This window comes from Homo sapiens, chromosome 8 (assembly GCF_000001405.40).
Source record: "Homo sapiens chromosome 8, GRCh38.p14 Primary Assembly".
Taxonomy (NCBI): Eukaryota; Metazoa; Chordata; class Mammalia; order Primates; family Hominidae; genus Homo; species Homo sapiens.
The window spans coordinates 67,271,029-67,292,140 of record NC_000008.11 but is presented as its reverse complement, the minus strand read 5'-3'; the positions used below and the strand labels follow the sequence as shown (position 1 = coordinate 67,292,140).

Here is a 21,112-nt window from a genome sequence, read left to right as displayed (position 1 = left end):
ATTTTATTTATTTCCAGTTACAGGAAGCAAAACAAATGGAAAAAGAAAGGCATCGGCAGCATCATCATCTGTTACAGTCTCCAGTAAGCCATCACGAGCCTGAATCACCTCAACTTAGATATTTGCCACCTCAGACTGTTGATCATATATCCCAAGAACACGAAGGGGACCTTGACCTCCATACAAATGATGTAGATAAAAGTCTTCAGGATGACACAGAGCCTGAAAATGGATCTGATATTTCCAGTGCAGAAAATGAACAGACTGAAGCTGATCAGGCAACTGCAGCTGAAAGTAATCTTCTTGAAAAGGGGGTTTGGGGTGTGTGTTAAGGGAAATGTGTAGGAATGAGAGTTTTGATGAAGAAATGTTGAAAGGATAATATGATTTAATAAGTGTGTCAGACACATTGTGGTAATTGTGGACTTTCCTCATTGTAGGTGGTAAAATTAATTTGACTCTAACCTACAAGATATCTATGAATGATACTTTGCATTTATTAGCATCTCATGAGCAGTATGATTTATAGATTTCCTTTGGAGCGCAGATATATTTCTAAAGAGGGTCATAAATGTCCGTTAAATGTTATATAGGAATTTCAGTTTTCTTAAGATTGGTTTCATAGCAAACAAGTGACCTAGTAAGGTTTTCTGGAATATGACTGAAAATTTTAAAAAATCATTACCAGTTTTAAAAATATGATTATGGTAAAAAAAAAAAAGTACTGAAATTAAATATAAAAACAAAGTTTTTGAGTAACCAACTGATAGAAATTTTCATTTTTTAAAATCATGATGCATAGTAATCACTAAAATTGAGATGTTCTCTGATTTTTTAAGTGTATATTATAAGAAAACGCTTATAAGATTATAAAAATTATATTTATTTTACAAATTTGTTTCTCTGTAAAAATAATCCCATGAAGTTATTTTTTTCCTAAATGTTATTTTCAGCTTTAGCTGTTCTGTGAAACTACCAGGGAGTTGGTGGTGTTCTCCCTTTGCCCTTCCTTAGCTTGATGTCATTTTTAAATGATGAGAATTCTGTTGCCTCTCCAGTGTGGTTGTCTAGAACTAGCATGTTAGGAGTCAGTTACAGTTCATCTGAAGTCTGTGTTTTTACTTCACTTTGAGGAAGGATTTCTGTAATATGTTTTCAGCTCTTGATTTTTTTTTTTTAAAACCATGCCTTTTCCAAAACTTAGTAGTGGCATGAATACGTGCCTTTTTACATTTTCCCCCCAGCTTTCTGAGAGGCATGCTTTTAAAAACAGTACTTTACTATTTGTTTTAAAAAGGATGACTTCGATAAGCTAAGCATTCATAGTACTGAAGCTAATAGTGAATCCATACCACTTAAATGATTTACATTTGTCTAGCCTGCCCTTGCCAAAATTTCCCCCACTTTCACTGTGAGCTTATAATGGGCAGATTCAAAGGGCTAATCTCTAATAAAGCTGGGACTTTATTTATTTTTTTGTTTATATATCTATGCATTTAGCAAACCTTCATTGAGCATACTGTGTCTTAGGCACCATGCTAGGACTTGAGGTTAAAAAGATGATGGAGATACAGCCACTGCTTTTAGTGTGATCTTAGCATACTTGGAAGTCAAGTGAGCATAAATAAGGTATAATATGTGATAGGTGTCCTAAAAATGCCATGCACAAAGTAATTCTGCTGAGAAGAGTTAGGAAATTTCTTTGTAGAGAAAGTGGTGATATTTTAGTTGAATCTTGATAGATAGGGGTAGGAAATTTCCAATCAAGGAAACAACATGGACTAAGACCCAAGAAATGGGAGCATCTGCTGTGTGTGAGGTACCTTAGGGGTAGGAAATTTTCCAACCAAGGAAACAACATGGACTAAGACCCAAGGAATGGAAGCATCTGCCGTGTGTGAGGTACCGCTGTAGAAGCCTTGTAGAATATAGAGTTAGAAAGACATAGTTTCCTGTGGGATTGTGATGATTATTTTGGCTCTAAAGATGTTTTTCTCCCAATAGCTGATATAAATGAAAATTCTGTTTGACAGCCATTGGTTCAGAGTGCATTTTTGGAGCACACCTCTGTCACTTACCAGCTGCGTGACTTTGGACATAATAGTTAACTTCTCTAAGCATTTCCTACATGTAATAAATATTAGTCATTGTTATTCTGTTCTGTTTCTTTCAGATACTTATGTGAAAATTGACCCTTCACTAGTCATTTCGTACACTTTTAGATAGTGGTTATGTATATTAAGTTACTTTGAAACTCTAGTTTTCAGACTTGAGGTAATTTTAGCCAACTAGAGCATGGAAATAAAACACTTAAGAATGGCAGAAAAATTATCTTTCAAGACATTTATGTTTTTATTCACAGAAGACTCTAAATGCTATTTTTATTTGGATATTTTATAAAATAAGGTTGCTCATTTACATGCATATTTATCTGGTTTTCTCTTGTGGCATTCAGTATTTTTGGGATACTACAGACAGTAAATTAGTAAAAGTGAAATTATAGGGAGGACAGGCACCTAGAAGCCACTATTATAAGTAGTGGTCCTTTTTTTGTCCTTTTTTCCTTTTTTTTTTTTTTTTTTTTTTTTTTTGGATACAGAGTCTTGCTCTGTCACCCTGACTAGAGTGCAATTACACAATCATGGGTCATTGCCTGCCTCCCAGGCGCAAGCGATCCTTCCATCTTAGCCTCCCAAGTAACTAAGACTATAGGCAGGTGTCACCATACCCAGCTAATATTTAAATTTTTTGTAGCAACTGGGTCTCACTGTGTTGCCCAGGCTGGTCTTGAACTCCTGGGCTCAAGTGATCCTCCCACCCAGCTTCCCAAAGTGCTGGGATTACAGGTGTGACCCCCCCTGTGCTCAGCTGTAGTGGTCCTTTATAGTAGTGGGAAGGTTCAAGGAGTTGAAACTGCAGCACCATCAGCTAATATGCTGTCTGATGCCCTTTGGTGTAGAACGGTAGCTCAAGACAGCATTTTGAATCCCAGGGCATTCTAAAGTGATAGTTGAGCTGCTTTGACATATTTTCAACATTTTAAAAAGCCCAGTGGAATTCCTATTTTTCTCTGCAATAGACTGTGCAAGCTATCCAGAACATCAGATTTCATCAGTTTCTCTTAGGCTATTCAGAAGTTCGATTGGCAGTTATCTGTTGTTGGTGATTTTGTTTTTTTTTTGTTTTTTTTGTTTTTTACATTAAATTGGACAATGAATTCTTTTTTAGCTTCTTAAATTTAGTTTTACATTAGATATGTAGATTATGTTGGTGAAAAAATAGGAAGGGCCAGAAAGTACTGGGGAAGGCCCAGATGCTTCTTCAGGGACCTCACCATAGAGTACCATGTTGATCTTACTATTGATGAGCCTAAGTAATCGAAACAAGCTTTAATTACTTTTTTTTTTTGAGACGTCGTCTTGCTCTGTCACCCAGGGTGGAGTGCGGTGGTGCAGTCTCAGCTCATTGCAACCTCTACCTCCCGAGTTCAAGCAGTTCTCCTGCCTCAGCCTCCCGAGTAGCTGGGATTACAGGCGTGTGCCACCGCGCCTGGCTAATTTTTGTATTTTTAGTAGAGATGGGGTTTCACCATGTTGGCCAGGCTGGTCTCCAACTCCCCACCTCAGGTGATCCACCCACCTTGGCCTCCCAAGTTGCTGAAATTACAGGCATGAGCCACTGCACCCAGCCTACTTACATTCAGTATATTTGATAAGGGATAGTGTAATGTGTGTACTAAGTATAAGTAAGCATCTGTAGGACATGTTAGAAATGTTTCATTTAAAATAGTTTTTGAAGTTTTGGTACTTAAAGGACTAATCTAGAAAATTCAGTTAAGTGTAATAATGTAATAGCTTGTCAAAGGAATCATTGAAATTGACTTGAATTTGGAAAATATTTAAGTTTTGGTATACATTTTGAAGGTTTAGCATATAATTGCTTCTAATTTCATGTTATCTATTTGATTTTTTTTCTTTTATTCCTCATGATTTAGGAGTTTTTTCATCATAAATGTTTAGTAAAAAGCTTCCAAAAAGTTAAAATAATGTTCTGTTGAATTTTTCTTCTTTTAAAGCATTATCTAAAAATGAAGTGTTATATGACGGAGAAAACCATGATTGTGAGGAAAAGCCACAAGACATTGTACAGAACATTGTAGAAGAAATGGTGAACATTGTTGTTGGAGGTAGTATACTTCATTCAAAATTATTTTACTCTGTCTATGGGATTTCATCTGACTGTGGAGACTTTGTAATGTCTGGAATAGAAAGGGCAAAATTAAAACGTTTGGAGCCAACCAATGGAAAGTTACAAATTCCACATTTAGGATTTTGGCCTTGATTCTAGAACAAATGGGTTAATATGGAAGATTTTAGCACTGAGAAATGAAATGACCAGAACTATGCTTTAAGAAGCTAAGTCTGGAAATAAGAATTCCCAGTAGGATACCAGCACAGTATTCAAAGCCTGGATAGGACAGAAACCGTCTAAATGGAGACAAAAATATGGATAAGTGATATAATGTATATTGAATCAAGAAGACTTTGTAACTGATTAAGTAGGTAAGGAAAAGAGAATAAAGTGTGTCGGAGGCCTTCAAGATTACCCCAAGGTTTGGTGATTTCACTGGAAGCCGTCACAGGACCCAGCATATAGTTGTACTCACTGCATGATTTATTAGTGAAAAAGTACAAAGCAGAATCATCAGTAGGAAGAGGTATATGGGGTGAAGCCTGGAGAAAATCAGGTACATGCTCCAAATGTCTTCTCTCAGTGAAGTCATACAGATTCTCTTAATTCAACTTGTGAAGTGTTTACCAGGGAAGCTCATTAGAGACTCAGGTCCCAAGGTTTTTACTGGGGGCTGTTATGTAGGCACCTACCATGTACGAAAATTCCAGGATACCAGAAGGAAGGTTGGTGTTCAGCATAAATTACACTCTTTGTACAGTTTAGACACAGTGAGTCACTTTTATCAGTTCTGGGAATAGTGGGATCCCTCCCAAAATATAAGTTCCCAGGTGCCAGCCAAAGGCCAGTCTTGCAAGTAGGCCTTTCTAAGGATAGGCAGTCTCTGGCCTGCTATGTTACCTCTTTCCTGCACAGGTAGTGTTTCAGTTTTTGAGCCTAAATGGATAGGTGGATGGTGGTGCTATTGGTAGAGTTGAATCATCTTGGAAGATAAGTCACTTGGGAAAAAAGGCACTTATTTACTTTTGGTATACTGAATTTGACCTTCAAGTTGGCCATCTGTGTGGAAATGATTATGAAATACGTAATGGAAAATAAAACTCTGGCTCAAGAGTTGCCAAGGCAGGTGCTATAGATGGGAGTCATTCTGTTAAAATTAATAGTGAAGCCATGAGATTACCAAGTGGGAAATGGTAGAGAGTGAAGAACCGACCATGATTTGAAGAGTATGAATTTAAAATATATATTAAAAAAATAAAAAATAGAGAAGAAAAAATAGCAGTACATGCCCGTGCATTCTTTAAACATATAATAGTATAGTTAAGGAGTTGGCACATTACGGCCTGTGGGCCAGATTCAACCCGCTACCTATTTTTGTATGTAAAATAATACTGTGACACAGCCATGCTTATTTGTTTTTATACTGCCTACAGAGGTCTCCTGTTGTACTTCATAGGTAAAGTTGAATAGTTCCAGTAGAGATTGTACGACCTCTAAAGCCTAAAATGTTTATCATCTGACCCTTTATAAAAAAAATTCACCAGCATCTAACAATACAGAGTCTGAAGTGAAAGTTTTCGTTTTTCTGCAACTTTTTACTTAGGAAAAACATCAAACCTAGAGAAAAGTTCGAAAAAAGGAACAGTGAACACCTGTGTGTCCTTTATCTGGATTCACTAGTGGTTAACGATTTTGCTATGTTTACTTTATGTATCTTTAAATACCATGCACATAATGTATGTGTCTTTGCTGAACCATTTGAAAATCGGTTGTATACATCATGACATTTCTCCCGTAAATACCTCACAGCATATATCTTCTCCAATAAGAGCATTCTCATACAATAAGCACAATTCCATTTTCATACCTAGGGAAATTAACACGATTTCAAGAATATCTAATATACATATATTTTTCAGTGTTCCCAGTTTTCCCAAAATGTGTCTTATATCCTTTTTTTTCTTTTCTAAATCCAGAACTCAACCTGGGTACACTCGTATTTGCTTATCTGTCTCTTTGGTTTAGAACAAGTCCTCTTGATTTTTCCCCCCAACTTTCATGACATTTGCTTTTTTGAAGAATCTTTTGCCTTGTAGAATATTTCAAATTTTGGATTTATTGGATGGTTTCTTTACCATCCTATATGAGTAGATTGAGATTGTCATCTACATGATTAGTTTAGATTAAATATATTTGGCAAAAATACTGCATGGTGATATTAGTACTTAATACCACATCATATAAATTGGTACATAATGACAGGTTACCCCCGTTGGTGGTAGGGTTGGATCATTTGGTTAAGATGGTGATTATCAGCTCTCTGTAAAGGAACATTTTTCACTTTGTGATTAATAGCCAATCTGAGGTGATACTTTGATACTTGGAGATGATATGAAAATTTATTCACCCAGTGTTTTTTTTTGTTTTCCCCCCAAGATAAGGTCTTGCTCTGTCACCCAGGCTGGGGTATAGTGGTACAGTCTTGGCTTACTGCACCCTCGGTCTCTTGGGCTCACGCAGTCCTCCTGCCTTAGTCTCCTGAGTATCTGAGTCTACAGTTACACACCACCACGCCCGGCTAGTTTTTGTATTTTTTTGTAGAGATGGGGTCTTGCTTGTGTTGTCCAGGCTGGGCTTGAACTGGCCTCAAGTGATCCTCCCACCTCAGCCTCCCTAATTGCTGGGATTACAGATGTGAACCACACACCTGGCCCACTCAATGGTTTTAGCACCCATTGATGATCCTTGCCTTACTCAGATATTGGGTTGCAATATAGCAATTTTCTAATTCTTAACATTCATTGACATTTTTCTATAGAGAAGAGCTCTCCCACCCTGCCCCACCCCCCCCTTTAAAAATAATACCATGGGCTTAATGAATTCTTTTATTATTTGATGTGTTATAATCCTGTATCATCATTATTTTTATTTTTTTGTCTGCCAGTAGGAATCCGTTCAAGCTAACACCCACGTTCTTTTGATGTGATTCTGTTAGTCTTTGAGCTTTTCCTTTATGTTTGGAACAGAAAGATGTTCCAGGTTCACCTTCAACTTCCCTTTTCCTCAGCCCTGGAATCAGCTAGTTCTCCGAAGAGTCTTTGTCCTTTTTAGTGGGCAGTTGTTCTTAGAAACCAAGAATTGGTTACAAGATGCTCTTGTTGCTAGCTGCTGAGATGTCCTTACTTGCAGGCCCTTCCAGTGGATAGAGAGGGAAACATACAATTAGTCTTAAGTTCCTATTTGTAGTTCTACTTCACGTCCAATACCACAAGGTTGCTCCTCATCTTTCTGTACTTTCTATTTGTATCTTCCGTTTCCTACATTGAAAACCCAGATCCCCAACAAGATGCCATTACTAACAGCAAACTTATAAAGTTCAAGATTTTTCTGTAATTATATGTATCCTTAAATATATCCTACTAAAGATGAGTGAGAGTACTGTTTTGAAAAAGTTACTTGTATTATTTTATTGGTTCGTTTTTTTAAATATGAAGAATATTTACATGATTCAAAGTCAAAATTACATAAAAGGCTTACTTGGAGAACTCCATCAGCTCCTTCCTTCTCTGATCCTCCTTCTATAGGTAATCAGTTTCACTAGCTTTTAGTTTATCTCTGGGGGTTAGGGGGTTGTGCGTACATGTCTGCTTGTACATAAGAGATGTAAGCAAAGGCGTTTTTTATTTCCCTTTCTCTCATTTTTTGTTAGAGTACTGCATGTATGTGTGTGTTGCATTTTTTCACCTAACATATTAGAAATTATTCTATTTCAGTTGATAGAGATTTTCTTCTTTTCTCTCATGGTTTTCTGCATAATACTACCTTATGCAGATATATCATAGTTTATTCAGCCAGCCCCCTGTTGTACTTACGTTGTTTCCAGTGTTTTGCTGTTACAAATAATGCTGCAGTGAATAACTTTGTACATCTGTATTGTTTCATATTTATGGAAGTTTATTTTGAGGGCAAATTCCTAGAAATGAGATTATTGGGTCAAGTGGTAAATGAATATGAATATCTGTTAGCTATTGCTAAATTCCTCTTTATAGGTGTTGTGCCATTTTGCACTCTTACCATTAATGTATGAGAGTGCCTTTCTCTCCACAGCTGGTAGTACTAAAAGATTTTGAGTTTTTACCAACCTGATAGGTGAGAAATGTATCTCAGTTTGGTTTTAATGTGCATTTCTCTATGAGTGAAATTAAACATCTTTTCATATCTGTAGGATCATTAGTATATCTTTTAGTGAGTCATTTATTCATGTCTTCTGTTCATTTTTCCATCAGATTTTTATCCTTTTCCCCTTAAGAATCCTTTATGTATTAGGATTCTGTGATATATTTTACAGATACTTTCTCTCAGTTTATCATTCGCCCAAGTCTTTTGATCTTATTATGGTGTGTTTTGCTGTACATAATTTTTTAAATAATTTTTTTCACACATGCCTGCATATATATTACATATGTTTAAGATAAATGGGAATATATTGTACTTACAGTTTGATAATCTGCCTTTTTCACATATTAAACTATATCCATTCACATCCATTTGAATTTCATTATATCACTGGGCCATAATTTATTTAAATAATCTCCTGTTAATACTAGCATTTAGATTATTTTCAGGTTTTTGCTTTTTATAAACATTGGTGTGATATACATTCTTACTATAGACATCTTTTTGCACTTATCTTTTGGCTAAATTATAAAGAAGGAATAGCTTGATCAAGGTGTATGAATATTAAAAAATTTGTATACAGTGCTATAATGTCACTGTAATGATGGTATTTATTGTATTGTTTTAATTTGCATTTGGCTATTTCCAGGGTCAAAATATAGGCAATTATTTTTATAGGTCAAACATTGGCCATTTTGTATATTCCAACTAAATATCATTGGACTACTTATCTTTTTTTGAATTACTATTCTTGTCTTTTGCCTATTTTTTCCTTTTCTTTCTTTTGTTCTTATTTTCAGGAGTTCTTCATACTAAGAAATTATTCCTTGTTCAGTGTATTGTAAATATTTTTTCTACTCAGTCTTTGTTTTGTTTGAACCTTTGCTTATATTATTTTCTTTTTCTTTCTTTCTTTTTTTTTTTTTGAGATGAAGTCTTGCTCTATCATCGAGGCTGGAGTGCAGTGGCAAGATCTTGGCTCACTGCAAACTCTGCCTATCGGGTTCAAGCAGTTCTTCTTCTTCAGCCTCTTGAGGAGCTGGGATTACAGGTGCACACCACCATGCCCGGCTAATTTTTGTATTTTTTTGGTAGAGACGGGGTTTTACCATGTTGGCCAGGCTGGTCTTGAACTACTGACTTTGTGATCCACCCGCCTTGGCCTCCCAAAGTGCTGGGATTACAGGCATGAGCCACCGCGCCTGGCCTATATTTTTATTTCCGAGCACATACTTGACCACAAAAAAAATTTTTAAGATTATCTTTTTATTTGTGGTTTCTGTTTTTGTCTTGCTGAAAATGGATTTTACCACCCTAAGATTATAAAATACACTAAGATACCTTTTTCTAATATTTTGTTTTTATTTTTTGACTTTAGCTCTTTAATTCATCTCAGATTTATTTTTCTGTGTGGTGTGAAATTCTATAGCTAATTATAAGCTATAGAAATAATCATTTCTCAATTAATTTGAAATGAAAACTTTATCCTAAATGGTTCTGTTTTTTGAGTTTTCTGTACAGTTGTAATGAGCTATTTGTCTATTCCTAACCAGTGTTGAATTATGTAAAATATTTTGGCTTTATAGTACATTTTGATTTTCATAGTGCAAGGCCTCCCTCTTCAATTTTTTTTAGTTTTTAATTTTTGTATTCTATAGTATCAATTTTTAAAATATCTATTAAATGTATGTTGTTAGGTGAACTTTAGAACCACTTTATTAAGTTCAAAAATTAAAGCTTACTTAGTAATTGAAATTGTAATGTGCTTATAAATTAACTTGGGAAGATAATATCTTCTTTGCAACAGTATCGAGTCTTCTCCTCCAGAAACATAAAAAGTTCATTTAGTCAAGTCTTTTACGTCATTCAGGAAAGTTTTATTGTTTTCTTCCTTTGGCTCATGCACATTTTTTGTTAAATTATTTCTATATTTTTGGTTTAGTTTTGATAATATTTTGGTTGAGTCCTTTCTTCTCTATTCCCTAATTTAATTGGAATATAGAAAAATTCTTGTTTTTCCATATTTATCTCCTATTTGGTCACCTTCTGAACTCATATTATTTCTAAAAGTTTTTCATTTGGCTATTTTTTCTAAGTGAATAATGATATTTTTATCTTTGTCTCTTCCTTTACAGCATTTATACCTTATTTTTGTTTGTTTCTTTTTGTTACATTACATTGGCTAGAAGCTCCAGAAAATGTTGAATAGTGTTAATGATGGCAAGGATATTCATTTTTTTTTTTAACATTATTGCTATATTTCACCATTAAATTTGATGATTGCTTTTGTTTTTGGAGGATACTCTTTATCAAATTAAGTAAGTTTTCTTGTTTGATTAAAAGATGCTTTTATCTTTTGTATATACGTGACTGTGTGTGCATGGGTATGAATTTTACTTTTGTTTTTTTAAATCAGGAGTAGCAGTTGATTTTTTTATGACTTTTCATCATTTTAGAAAGTTTTTTTGTTGTTATTGTTAATTCTTCTTCATCCTTTCTGTTCTTTTCCACATCTCACACTATACAGATGTTGAATATTCTAGATCATGTCCTTGATTGCTATTGCAGTCTTCTCTAATTTCCATCATTTTGTCTTAGGGTTTTACATTCAACGAGAATGTTACAAGGGTTTTTCCATTTTGCAAATATTTTTTAGTAATATCCATTCTACTGCTTTTTCCAGTGTAGTTTTTGTTTCAGTAATGTTTTTGTCCCCAAGAACCCCATTTTTCTCTGAGCTTTTTTTTTTTTATAGCACTTTGCTCTTGTGTATTATTGCAACATTCCTTCGCTTATCACTGACTATACTAACTGGAACTATCCCAGCTGTGAAATCTAATTCCCCATTTGCTCAGATTGCTGTCTTTTGTCTTCACTTTTGAGCTGTAAACTTTATGTTTTTGCCTATTTGTAGAAACAGAGACTAGATTTGATCAATCTACTCTCAGTAATTGTATATGTTTTTTCTATTTCTTGTGAGGCCTTCCTTTCCAAAATTCATGAGGTGTCTGTGGTCCAAAGGCAGACCTCATTTCTAAGCTGAGATCAAAGAAGCAGGTACCTCCCTTGAGCAGGGTATGGCTCTAGTGGCCCTTGGGCTGTGTAGCCCCTTATCATTCACCATGTTGTCAACACAAACCAAAGTCAAGCTTGGGGTGAATGCTGTACACTTTTTATATATTCTACACTGAGGAAGATCTTCACACTTGTTGATTTGTTCTCACTCTCCCAACCCTTGCCAGGGAATCTTAAGCTGGCATCATTCAGTAATGGCTTTAATTGGAAATAATTAAGTAGAAAGAGAGTAGGAGCCTAGAACCTTAGTTGGTTTTCCTTCTGTGTTTATTGCAGCATTCCCAGTTAGCTGAGATGCTGCTCTCTCCTTTCCTGGCCTACTTGTTATGTTAGGAGACCTACTAAACAAATAATCTACTTTAATTAGCAGGCAGTGATCAAATACAGTCTAGATGATCATGGCTGTGGTCAGCTCTATTGATAGACATTGGCATGGTTCCCCAAGCTCTTTGATTTGCATCTTCCCTCTTACCTCATAGCACCTTGCCATTCTAGGCTTTGAAGTCTTTTAGAACCCAAGTGGTAAAACAATCATATCTCTCAGGTTGGCCTATTCTTTGCATGTGTTCAGTCATAGGCAATAAATTAAATAGGTTTTCCTTTGATTTCAACCTACTTTCTAGGATTCCTCAAAGTTTATGATCCAGTGATATGCTCCTTAGTTTATCAGCATCATTAAAAGTACATCTCTTGTTTATTTTTTTTTTGTAATTTCAGTGGGATTTGTCAAAGGAGAAAGTAAATTGGTAGGCTCAATTCACCACCTTGAAAGTAGAAGTTTGCATCTATGTTTAAAGGATAATTAGAGGAGAAAACATGAGACAGTTAATAATACTAACTGTATTAAGTGCTTCCTGTATATCTCAAATGATTTTATGTGCTTGTATTTATTCATTTACTCTTCCCTCAAACACTGGGATGTTTAGGTACTATTACTATCCCCTCTTTACAAATGAGAAAATTGAAATAATGAGTGATTATTCCTTTTGAAGAAGTGATAAAGTGAAGATTTCAAGCCACGGGGGTGTGGCTTCAAAGTCTAAAAAGAAAATCAGGAAATGTTTTCAGTTTCTTTGAGAAATTTCTTGAGATGGAAAGGAGGAAAGTAATATCAAATAATATTGAGTATTCATTTGAGAGATTTAATAAAAAGAGGGAAGAAAATGAACACGAGCTGAGGTGTAGCAAGAGGTGAAGGAAGATTTTGTGTGTGTGTGTGAAAATATTTGAATGTTTATTGGATAATGGGGAAGATCCAGTTGTGTGCACAAAATTGAAAAAGGAATGTTAAAATACTTAGTGGAGGAAGATACTGTTGAAGGCAGGAAGAGATGTATTTTTGTGGTGCTGCAAGAGACAGGGAGCCTGTGTTAAATTACCTGATTTTTAGCTAAGTAGTAGGTGGAAGTCATTTGTTAAGGGGAGGTGGGGAGAGAATCATAGGAAGAGATGTAATTGGGTGCAGAGAGAAAACGTTTTGGAATAAGTACTCTGGGGAATGAGATAGGAACTCAGTTTCTAATAATCATTGTTAGTTTTTTTCTGAGTCTTTCCACAATCTTTACATATGTAAATTCTTTTTTTAAAAAAAATTTTTTGTAGCAATGGTGTCTCACTATGTTGCCCAGGCTGGTCTTGAGCTCCTGACCTCAAGTGATCCTCCCACCTTGGCCTGCCAGAGTGCTGGAATTATAGGCATGAGCCACCGTGCCTGGCCTATGCATTTTCTACATATGTAATATATAAAAGCTATAGTGGTATTTAGCACATCAAACATTAGCATATTGAAGCTCCAAAAGTCCTCTTAAGAAAGCGTCTGTTTTCAGTGTAACAGTTTTCATAATGTATTTTATTACTGAATATATTTTTCATGTTATACTTATTAATGCAAAACTTGCTTCGGAATTATCCAGTTTTTTTGACCTCTCAGGTTCAAGTGATTCTCCTGCCTCAGCCTCCCGAGTAGCTGGGATTATAGGCACCCGCCACCGTGCCCAGCTTATTTTTGTATTTTTAGTAGAGACGAGGTTTCACCATGTTGGCCAGGCTAGTCTCGAACTCCTGACCTCGTGATCCACCCGCCTCGGCCTCCCAAAGTGCTGGGATTACAGGTGTGAGCCACTGCACCCAGCCTATCCAGTTTAATCTATTCCAGGGTGTTCTAATTTGGAGAGGAGAAAGCAACTTCTGGGTAGGGGAACCAGAAGCTGCTACTCCTTTCATATTACTCAAGTCACTCAAAAGTTGGAGACATGTTATCAATTAGTAACAAAATTAGTAATAACTACCACTTATTGAGTACCAGTTTTATTCTTTATGTCTTGTATGTGTGTTTTGGTGGTTCCTCATAGACCTCATTATTTCTGTTACTCATGAAGAAACCCAGGCAAAGAAATATGAAATAATTTACCCCATTAACTGGTGAAGACATGATTGAAACACAGGTCTTTAATATTTCAGAATCTATGTTCCTTATAGTACAGCATGTGTCTCTCGTACTATCTTATAGTTTTCTTTCAATTGGTAGCATGGAAGAGTTTCATTATACCTAGATTAGTTCTGGAACTTGGTATTATTTTCATTATCTCTGTTTGTTCTACCAGAAGTCACTTGTTTCTGTTTATATTAATTACAAGTATGATTACTCAAAGTGACCTAGTGAAAAATTTTCAGTGGTGTAGGTCATTATTTCCCTGGCTGTGTTCCAAAGAACATAAATTGTTAGAGATATTCATAGGAATTCTAAAAACGGGAAGGGGGCTTATGGTACAATAAATTTTGGAAACACAACATACTGTATATCCTTGGAGAGTTTTGTACATATTAGCAACTTAAAGGCTACAATAAAGAAACCTATTTCCCAGCATTTCCTGAACTAATTTGACAATGAGATATTTTTTCGAGGAATTTGTCTTCACATCTCAAGTCATTAGCATTCATCAAAACCCAGTTCAGTAAATGCTAATATAGACTAAAAGTAAGCTTCTGTTTTGGCACATCCTGGTTAGCCTTTCATCAGCTAAGTGTGTTTCATTGCCAGAGCAACTTAAGGATTGTATTTGGAAGTATGCCAGATGCATACTTATTTAGTAGTAAGTATGCTAACCTTTAAATGGTGCCAATACATATTTTACTTCACATTGCTTTCCTGCCACTGTTTCATTTTAAATACTCTGTGCTTTTTAAATACACTTCGGTTAAGTCAGATATATTTGCATGGTTTTTATTCTTATCATTTTAGATATGGGAGAAGGGACTACTATAAATGCAAGTGCAGATGGCAACATTGGAACTATAGAGGATGGTAGTGACAGTGAAAATATTCAAGCAAATGGAATTCCAGGAACACCAATTTCTGTTGCATATACACCATCCTTACCTGATGATAGATTGTCAGTCTCTTCCAATGATACTCAGGTATAAATGGAGGGGTGGGGAGGGGGAGAAATCCTGTTAATCTTACAAATTTATAGGCTACCACCACCTTGTCATGAGTATTTTCAGCTGATGATGCTGCCTGATTTTTATTTAGTTTGGGGAAATAAGAAACTTGGGGTTTTTTTTCCTTCATTTATATAAATTACAGCGATTTTTTCCCCTTCATATTTTGATAGTTACATTTCCAACTTTAAGGTAGGTCTCATCTATGTTTACATCTTCTCCACACCCATCTACCAATTGAATTAACATTTAATAAGAACATTCTTATTACATATTCACAAGATAATTCTGGTATGGGCTGAATATTTCTAATCTGAAATTCAAAATGCTCCAAATCCAAAACTTTTTGAGTGCCAAGATGACGCTCAGAGGTCATACACAAAGGAAATGCTCATTGGAGAATTCCACATTTTGGATTTTGGGATTAGGATGCTCATTCGGTATAATGCAGACAGTCCAAAATCCAAAAAAATCTGAAACCCAAAACACTTCTGGTCCCAAGCATTTCAGGTAACTCAACCTGTGTTGTAGGGTGAGAAAACTTTTAGAAATTTAGGGAGCTTCACCTTAACCTTTGTTCAGGGCTGCAAAGAAATCAGTACCATGGTAATGACAGGTTCTTTTCCTCCTTCCTACCCTATATTTTGTGTGTAAAAGATCTGCCTTTTTAGGTAAAGGAGTTCTCCACTAAGTGTCCCATATTTAGGAGTACATTTTTTTTTGGCTTGGTTGACCTTCAGTTTATATTTGCCCAGAGTGAGAGAAAAAATAAAATAGGATAAAAGCATAAAATAAAACAGTCAGTGACAGGTAGTAGGGAGTATAATTTAGGTCTTTGGATAGGATCTTGTCAGGCATGATATATCAGTTTTTTGTCAGTAATAGTATGAGCTGGGTAAATTTTAAGAGTTTATTTGGTTTATTAATAAGGAATATTTTTAAAGTGCATTTTTAAAGGTATTTATTGTTGGGTGTGGTCCGTGGAGTATAAAAGAAAAACAACGTGGCAGATTCCCTCATCTGGTTCCCCTTCCAACAGTGGGGGAATCTCCACCTGTTAGTGAATTGAATGAAATACAGTAGAAGGCTGAAGCGATTTTACACTGGCAAATATCTCTAAAATTTTCATGGTATGTTAACTTGTTTAGGAATCTGGAAATTCTTCAGGACCTTCACCTGGTGCTAAGTTTTCCCACATTTTACAAAAGGATGCCTTTCTAGTATTCAGGTCATTGTGTAAACTGTCAATGAAACCACTGTCAGATGGACCACCAGATCCAAAGTAAGTTATTAACTGTTTTGCCTGACAAATAGAGGTTTTTAGGCTTGAAACTTACTGTTAAGGTAATGTTTGGATTTTCTTTTGTTCTTTTTGTCCTATAGAACCATAAAAAAAAATTGGGTGGAGGGGAGGTATTTTACGTTTAAGAAAAAAGTATTGAAAAACAATTCAAAACTGCTGGAGTAGATAACTTACACTATTTCCTAAAGGGTATGTGACTTATACTATTTTCTAAAAACAAAAAGTTTCAGCATTGCTGGAATAGATAACTTATGCTATTTCCTAAAGGGTATGACAGCATTCTAGAATAGTGTCTGGTGCATAGGAGGGGCTCAATAAGTATTACCAAATGAATGAATTAATGAATTCTTATTTCCATATAAGTAACTTTGGAGCTAATGTAACCCTGTATCCCAGCCCTAGGTTTCTAAAAACTGCCAGTCAAAAGGTACTAAAACCTAAAAGAAATCTTAAAAGTTGTAATGAAAGATAATGCATATTCATTAAGGTCTGACAAAATGCCCTAGGATGATGTCTTTGTCTATTGGGATCAGGAAGAACTTTGAGTTAGGAGCCACTTGTCTAATTTTCATGAAATATATTAGATTAAACCCTAGGAAAGTGCCATTTTTGTAAGTCATAAATGGTCAAGTATCTCTCGTGATTCAAATGTAACTAATTACTTTTGAGACTGAGTTTGGAAGTTATATGAGTCGCCCACCTCTAATATTGCAGCATGATGTATTGCAATATGACAATTTTAGAACTTTCTGGAGAAAGAAACCTTGGAGCAGACCATAACTTTAAGAAAGGGATATTGAAATAGAGATGTAAGGAAACGGTACTTCAATTTAAAAAAATTCTATAGAGTGTTTCAGTTTCTGAGTGCCAGCTGAGCAGACCAGAGACAGTTGCTGTGAAAACTTCATACATATGTGGAAACTACATTTGTTATATTTGTTTAATTTTGTCAGATTGTACCAGTTCAGGGAGAAACATCCTTTAGTCCCAGAAGCCTAAAATCATAAAATCTTTTTAGACCCAAACCCTAAGTCAGAAATCAACATTCAAAAATCTCATTAAAAAATCGACAGTTTTGAATTTTAAAAAGTCTCATTCAAAAATCACCAGTTTTAACATCTCATTCTGAATCAATGAAGACCTACTTTGAGAAAGAGATAAGAATTTGGTATTATTGCTGAAGGGCATTTTTGCCATGCTTTAAAAATGTTATTGACCATTAAAGCCTCAGATGCTTTTTTCCAAATCAAATGTAAAAATTGTGATTTGAAAGAATGCTAGAAACAGAAAAGAAGAAATTCTTTAAAATGCTGAGAATGAAAAGGACACAAAGGAAAATAATATGAATTTTGAGGAGTATGTTCATTTATTCCTGAAAAAAAGAGTGATCTGGTTTTGAAAAGATGCTATCTTTAATGTTACAAAGGATTTTTATGAGGAATGATGTAAATTAACAAGCCTTATACTTAGTGGGTTTAAACCAAATATTAGGAAATTTTGTTTGAAGACCTTCTTGACTTGACTGTCAGGGTCATTAAACAATGGAATTGAATACTGAATACACCCTTAGAAGCTATTATTTTTCCAAAAGAATATGTAGTTTTCTGTTTTTAATGATTTTTTTTTTTTTTGCCAAAAGTCAAGCTTTCGTAGTTACATCATTTTCTTTTTTTTGTCTTTGCTTCCCCTTATATTTTCTGGTCTTGCTAAAATGATGATCCAGGAAATGTTCTTGAAGCCTGAATCATAATTTGAAACTACCCCATGAAAAACTGCAGACCTGAAATTTCCAGCCTCTTTTGCCTATCAAAAGTATAACTTATTGTGTCATAAGACAGTTGTCTAATCATTTCTTCATTCATTATTGCCTTGTACACAGTAGGTATTTAATAAATGGATGAATACAAGAATAAGTCCATTAATTTTTTTTAGCATGTACAGTGTACAAGATATTTTGTTAAATGTTGGGAATACAAATATAAAACATACTTAGAACAAACACTCATTGTTATAGAATGGTAAGCTGCAGGATTTAATTACAATAGGAATTGAGCATAATAGGTGATAAATGTGAGCTAGAATAGGAAGTAGTGTGTAAGCCTTGGAAGACTAGAACAGGAGGGGAGGTGGTGGGTTAATTTGTAGTTCCCTGTAGCTATTTGAAGTCTTAGTTCTTGCTGTCTCTACTTGATTTATCTAAGCATTTTTTTTGGTAATTATCTATTTGCTGCATATATTCTTAGATTCAAAGGAAGACTCAGCACAATGGCCATCTTAGAAACATGACTGTGTAATAATGAGCCATAATATTATTGGCTCCAGTTTTATTTCAGAGAAAGTAGTATTTTTTTGTGATACCCATTTACGTGAAATTAACAATTCCTTATTAGATTTACGTAGCTTCTTGAATTACTTGACACTTATAACCATAAAATTTTTCAGGTGGAAATCAAGGGCAATTAAGTTTACTATATAGTGTAAATGTGACTGAAAGCAGCATTTGGGCTACTTTTTTTTTTTTTTTTTTTTTTTTTTGGGAAAAAAAAAAAAACCAACTGCTAGAGCATTTTGGTGTGTTCCGCATTTGAAATGTTGCCTGGGTTCAATGTCCTTGGTCTGTTGGGCTTAAGAGATCAGTTTCAATGGGAGGAAAATTGTGTTTGCAAAATCAAATAATTAAAACACTAGATAGTGATCAGAAGCATGCCATAGTATATTGATTGGGAAAAAATTTAAAAATTTTAAGCCAAAAACTACTTTTTCAGCTTTTCATTACAGAATTATTTAGAATAAGTTGCTAAGCTATTTAAGTTTGTATTTTTATTTTATTTTATTTTATTATTTTTTGGACACGGAGTCTCACTCTGTCACCCAGGCTGGAGTGCAGTGGTGCAATCTCAGCTCACTGCAACCTCCACCTCCCAGGTTCAAGTGATTCTCCTGCCTCAGCCTCCCGAGTAGCTGGGGTTACAGGTGCCCACCACCACACTCGGATAATTTTGTATTTTTAGTACAGACAGGGTTTCACCATGTTGGCCAGGCTGGACTCAAATTCCTGACCTCAAGTGATCGACCTGCCTCAGCCTCTCAAAGTGCTGGGATTACAGGCATGAGCCACCACGCCTGGCCTTAAAGTTTTTAATTGTTCTGAATACCTCTATATTTATTTCAAAAGAAAAAAAAATCTTTAAATGGTTACCGAAAAAGTAAGCTTGAATTAGTGCTGTCACTTGTTAATGCAACCAAAACTTTTTTATTATTGTTTAGGATTTTTGAGTAGCATAACCAGAAAAAAGTCCATTGGAACTGTTGTGTATTAATACTAAATATGGCATTTAATCTGACAAGTTGATGATGATTTGTAAGAAGTATGGTTGTGAAAGAAAGGAACACAACATATATCTTCACACTATTTTTTTCTTTTCCAGTGAAACAATACGTTGATGTTAAATATTTGTGAATTTTTTTTTTCTTTTTAAAAAGTTTGTGGGCCAGGCGCGGTGGCTCATGCCTGTAATCCCAGCACTTTGGGAGGCCGAGGTGGGTGGATCACGAGGTCAGGAGATCAAGACCATCTTGACTAACACCGTGAAACCCCATCTCTACTAAAAATACAAAAAATTAGCTGGGCGTGGTGGTGGGTGCCTGTAGTCCCAGCTACTTGGGAGGCTGAGACAGGAGAATCGCTTGAACCCGGGAGGCAGAGGTTTCAGTGAGCTGAGATCGCTGCACTCCAGCCTTGGTGACAGAGCAAGACTCTGTCTCAAAATAATAAATTTAAAAAGTTTGTGAAATTATAAATATATGGTTCAGGGGAACATCAGTGAAAGCACCTGTTGTTAGTGCCTAAGTTGTTCATGTACTGTACTTTTTTTATGTTATAGAATTTTCTCTTCCTCTCCATTTACAAAGTTTATGAAATTATGATTATGTGTATCTGGAAATATTTTTGGAACAACCTGTTATTACTATAATGCCAACCTTGTTCATATACTATGCCTTCTTTTTTACATTTTAGGTCTCATGAACTACGATCCAAGATTCTTTCATTGCAGTTACTTCTATCCATTCTGCAGAATGCAGGACCTATTTTCAGGACAAATGAGATGTTTATTAATGCTATTAAGCAGTATCTTTGTGTTGCACTCTCAAAAAATGGAGTCTCATCTGTTCCAGAGGTTTTTGAGCTTTCTCTTTCTATATTTCTTACTTTGTTGTCAAATTTCAAGACACATCTGAAGATGCAAATTGAGGTACGTTTTGCATTTAGGCATAATGTTACTATTGGATATTTCATTTGTTTCATGTTAAATTATATTTGAATACACTGCAAAGTTCTCCAGAATGAAATAATATTTGTATATTGCCATGCACTTATTTTTTTTCATTCACCTGTTCAACTAATATGTGCCAACGAAGTACTAGGCACTGGATAAGCACTAAGAATGCAAAATGAAATAAGATGGAGCCACTGTCCTCAAGGAACTTATACTAGTTGAATAAATGGTTCTTGCTCTCTTGAATTAATTTGGTCCTCATAATAGCTTTGCCATTGTCTGTGTGGTATATTCGAATACATTTGTTTATCTTAAAAGAAAGTTCCAAATATATATTGCATCTCCATTATTTTAAACCATTTGTAAGTATTAGGCATTTTAAAAGATGTGATTGAGGGGCATTATATTTTGGGGTTCTATTTTGGATATTTGAAAAAATTAATATTTGCTTTGTACTTTTTTTTTAATGTATATATTCCTAAAGTTTTCTTCCAGGATCTTTGGAAATAGAATAGCAATCATGTGGTCCTAAAATATTGTCAGAGATTTAGTAGAACTAAATTAGGGATGTTTTCAATCGTGTCTGCATGTGTTGTGCAAGTGTACCAGTTTCTTTTTTTTTTTTTCTTTTTCCTTTTTTTTTTTTTTT

At 35.0% G+C, this 21,112-nt stretch overlaps 1 protein-coding gene across 17 annotated transcripts in view; it reads left to right on the top strand.

The window, feature by feature from the left end:
- ARFGEF1 (ARF guanine nucleotide exchange factor 1) overlaps positions 1-21,112 on the top strand; it is a 170,271-nt gene that overhangs the window by 51,641 nt on the left and 97,518 nt on the right. For 16 of the 17 annotated variants that reach the window (NR_182117.1, NM_001413186.1, NM_001413187.1 and 13 more), the window contains 5 exons: positions 18-294; positions 4,076-4,186; positions 14,684-14,859; positions 16,032-16,165; positions 20,205-20,439. Coding sequence is in view for 16 of the 17 variants with exons in the window: in NM_001413186.1 (NP_001400115.1) it covers positions 18-294; positions 4,076-4,186; positions 14,684-14,859; positions 16,032-16,165; positions 20,205-20,439 (933 nt within the window). In the remaining variant the exon portion in view is untranslated. The remainder of the gene's footprint in view (positions 1-17; positions 295-4,075; positions 4,187-14,683; positions 14,860-16,031; positions 16,166-20,204; positions 20,440-21,112) is intronic. The other variant, NM_001413196.1, reaches the window with a different exon arrangement.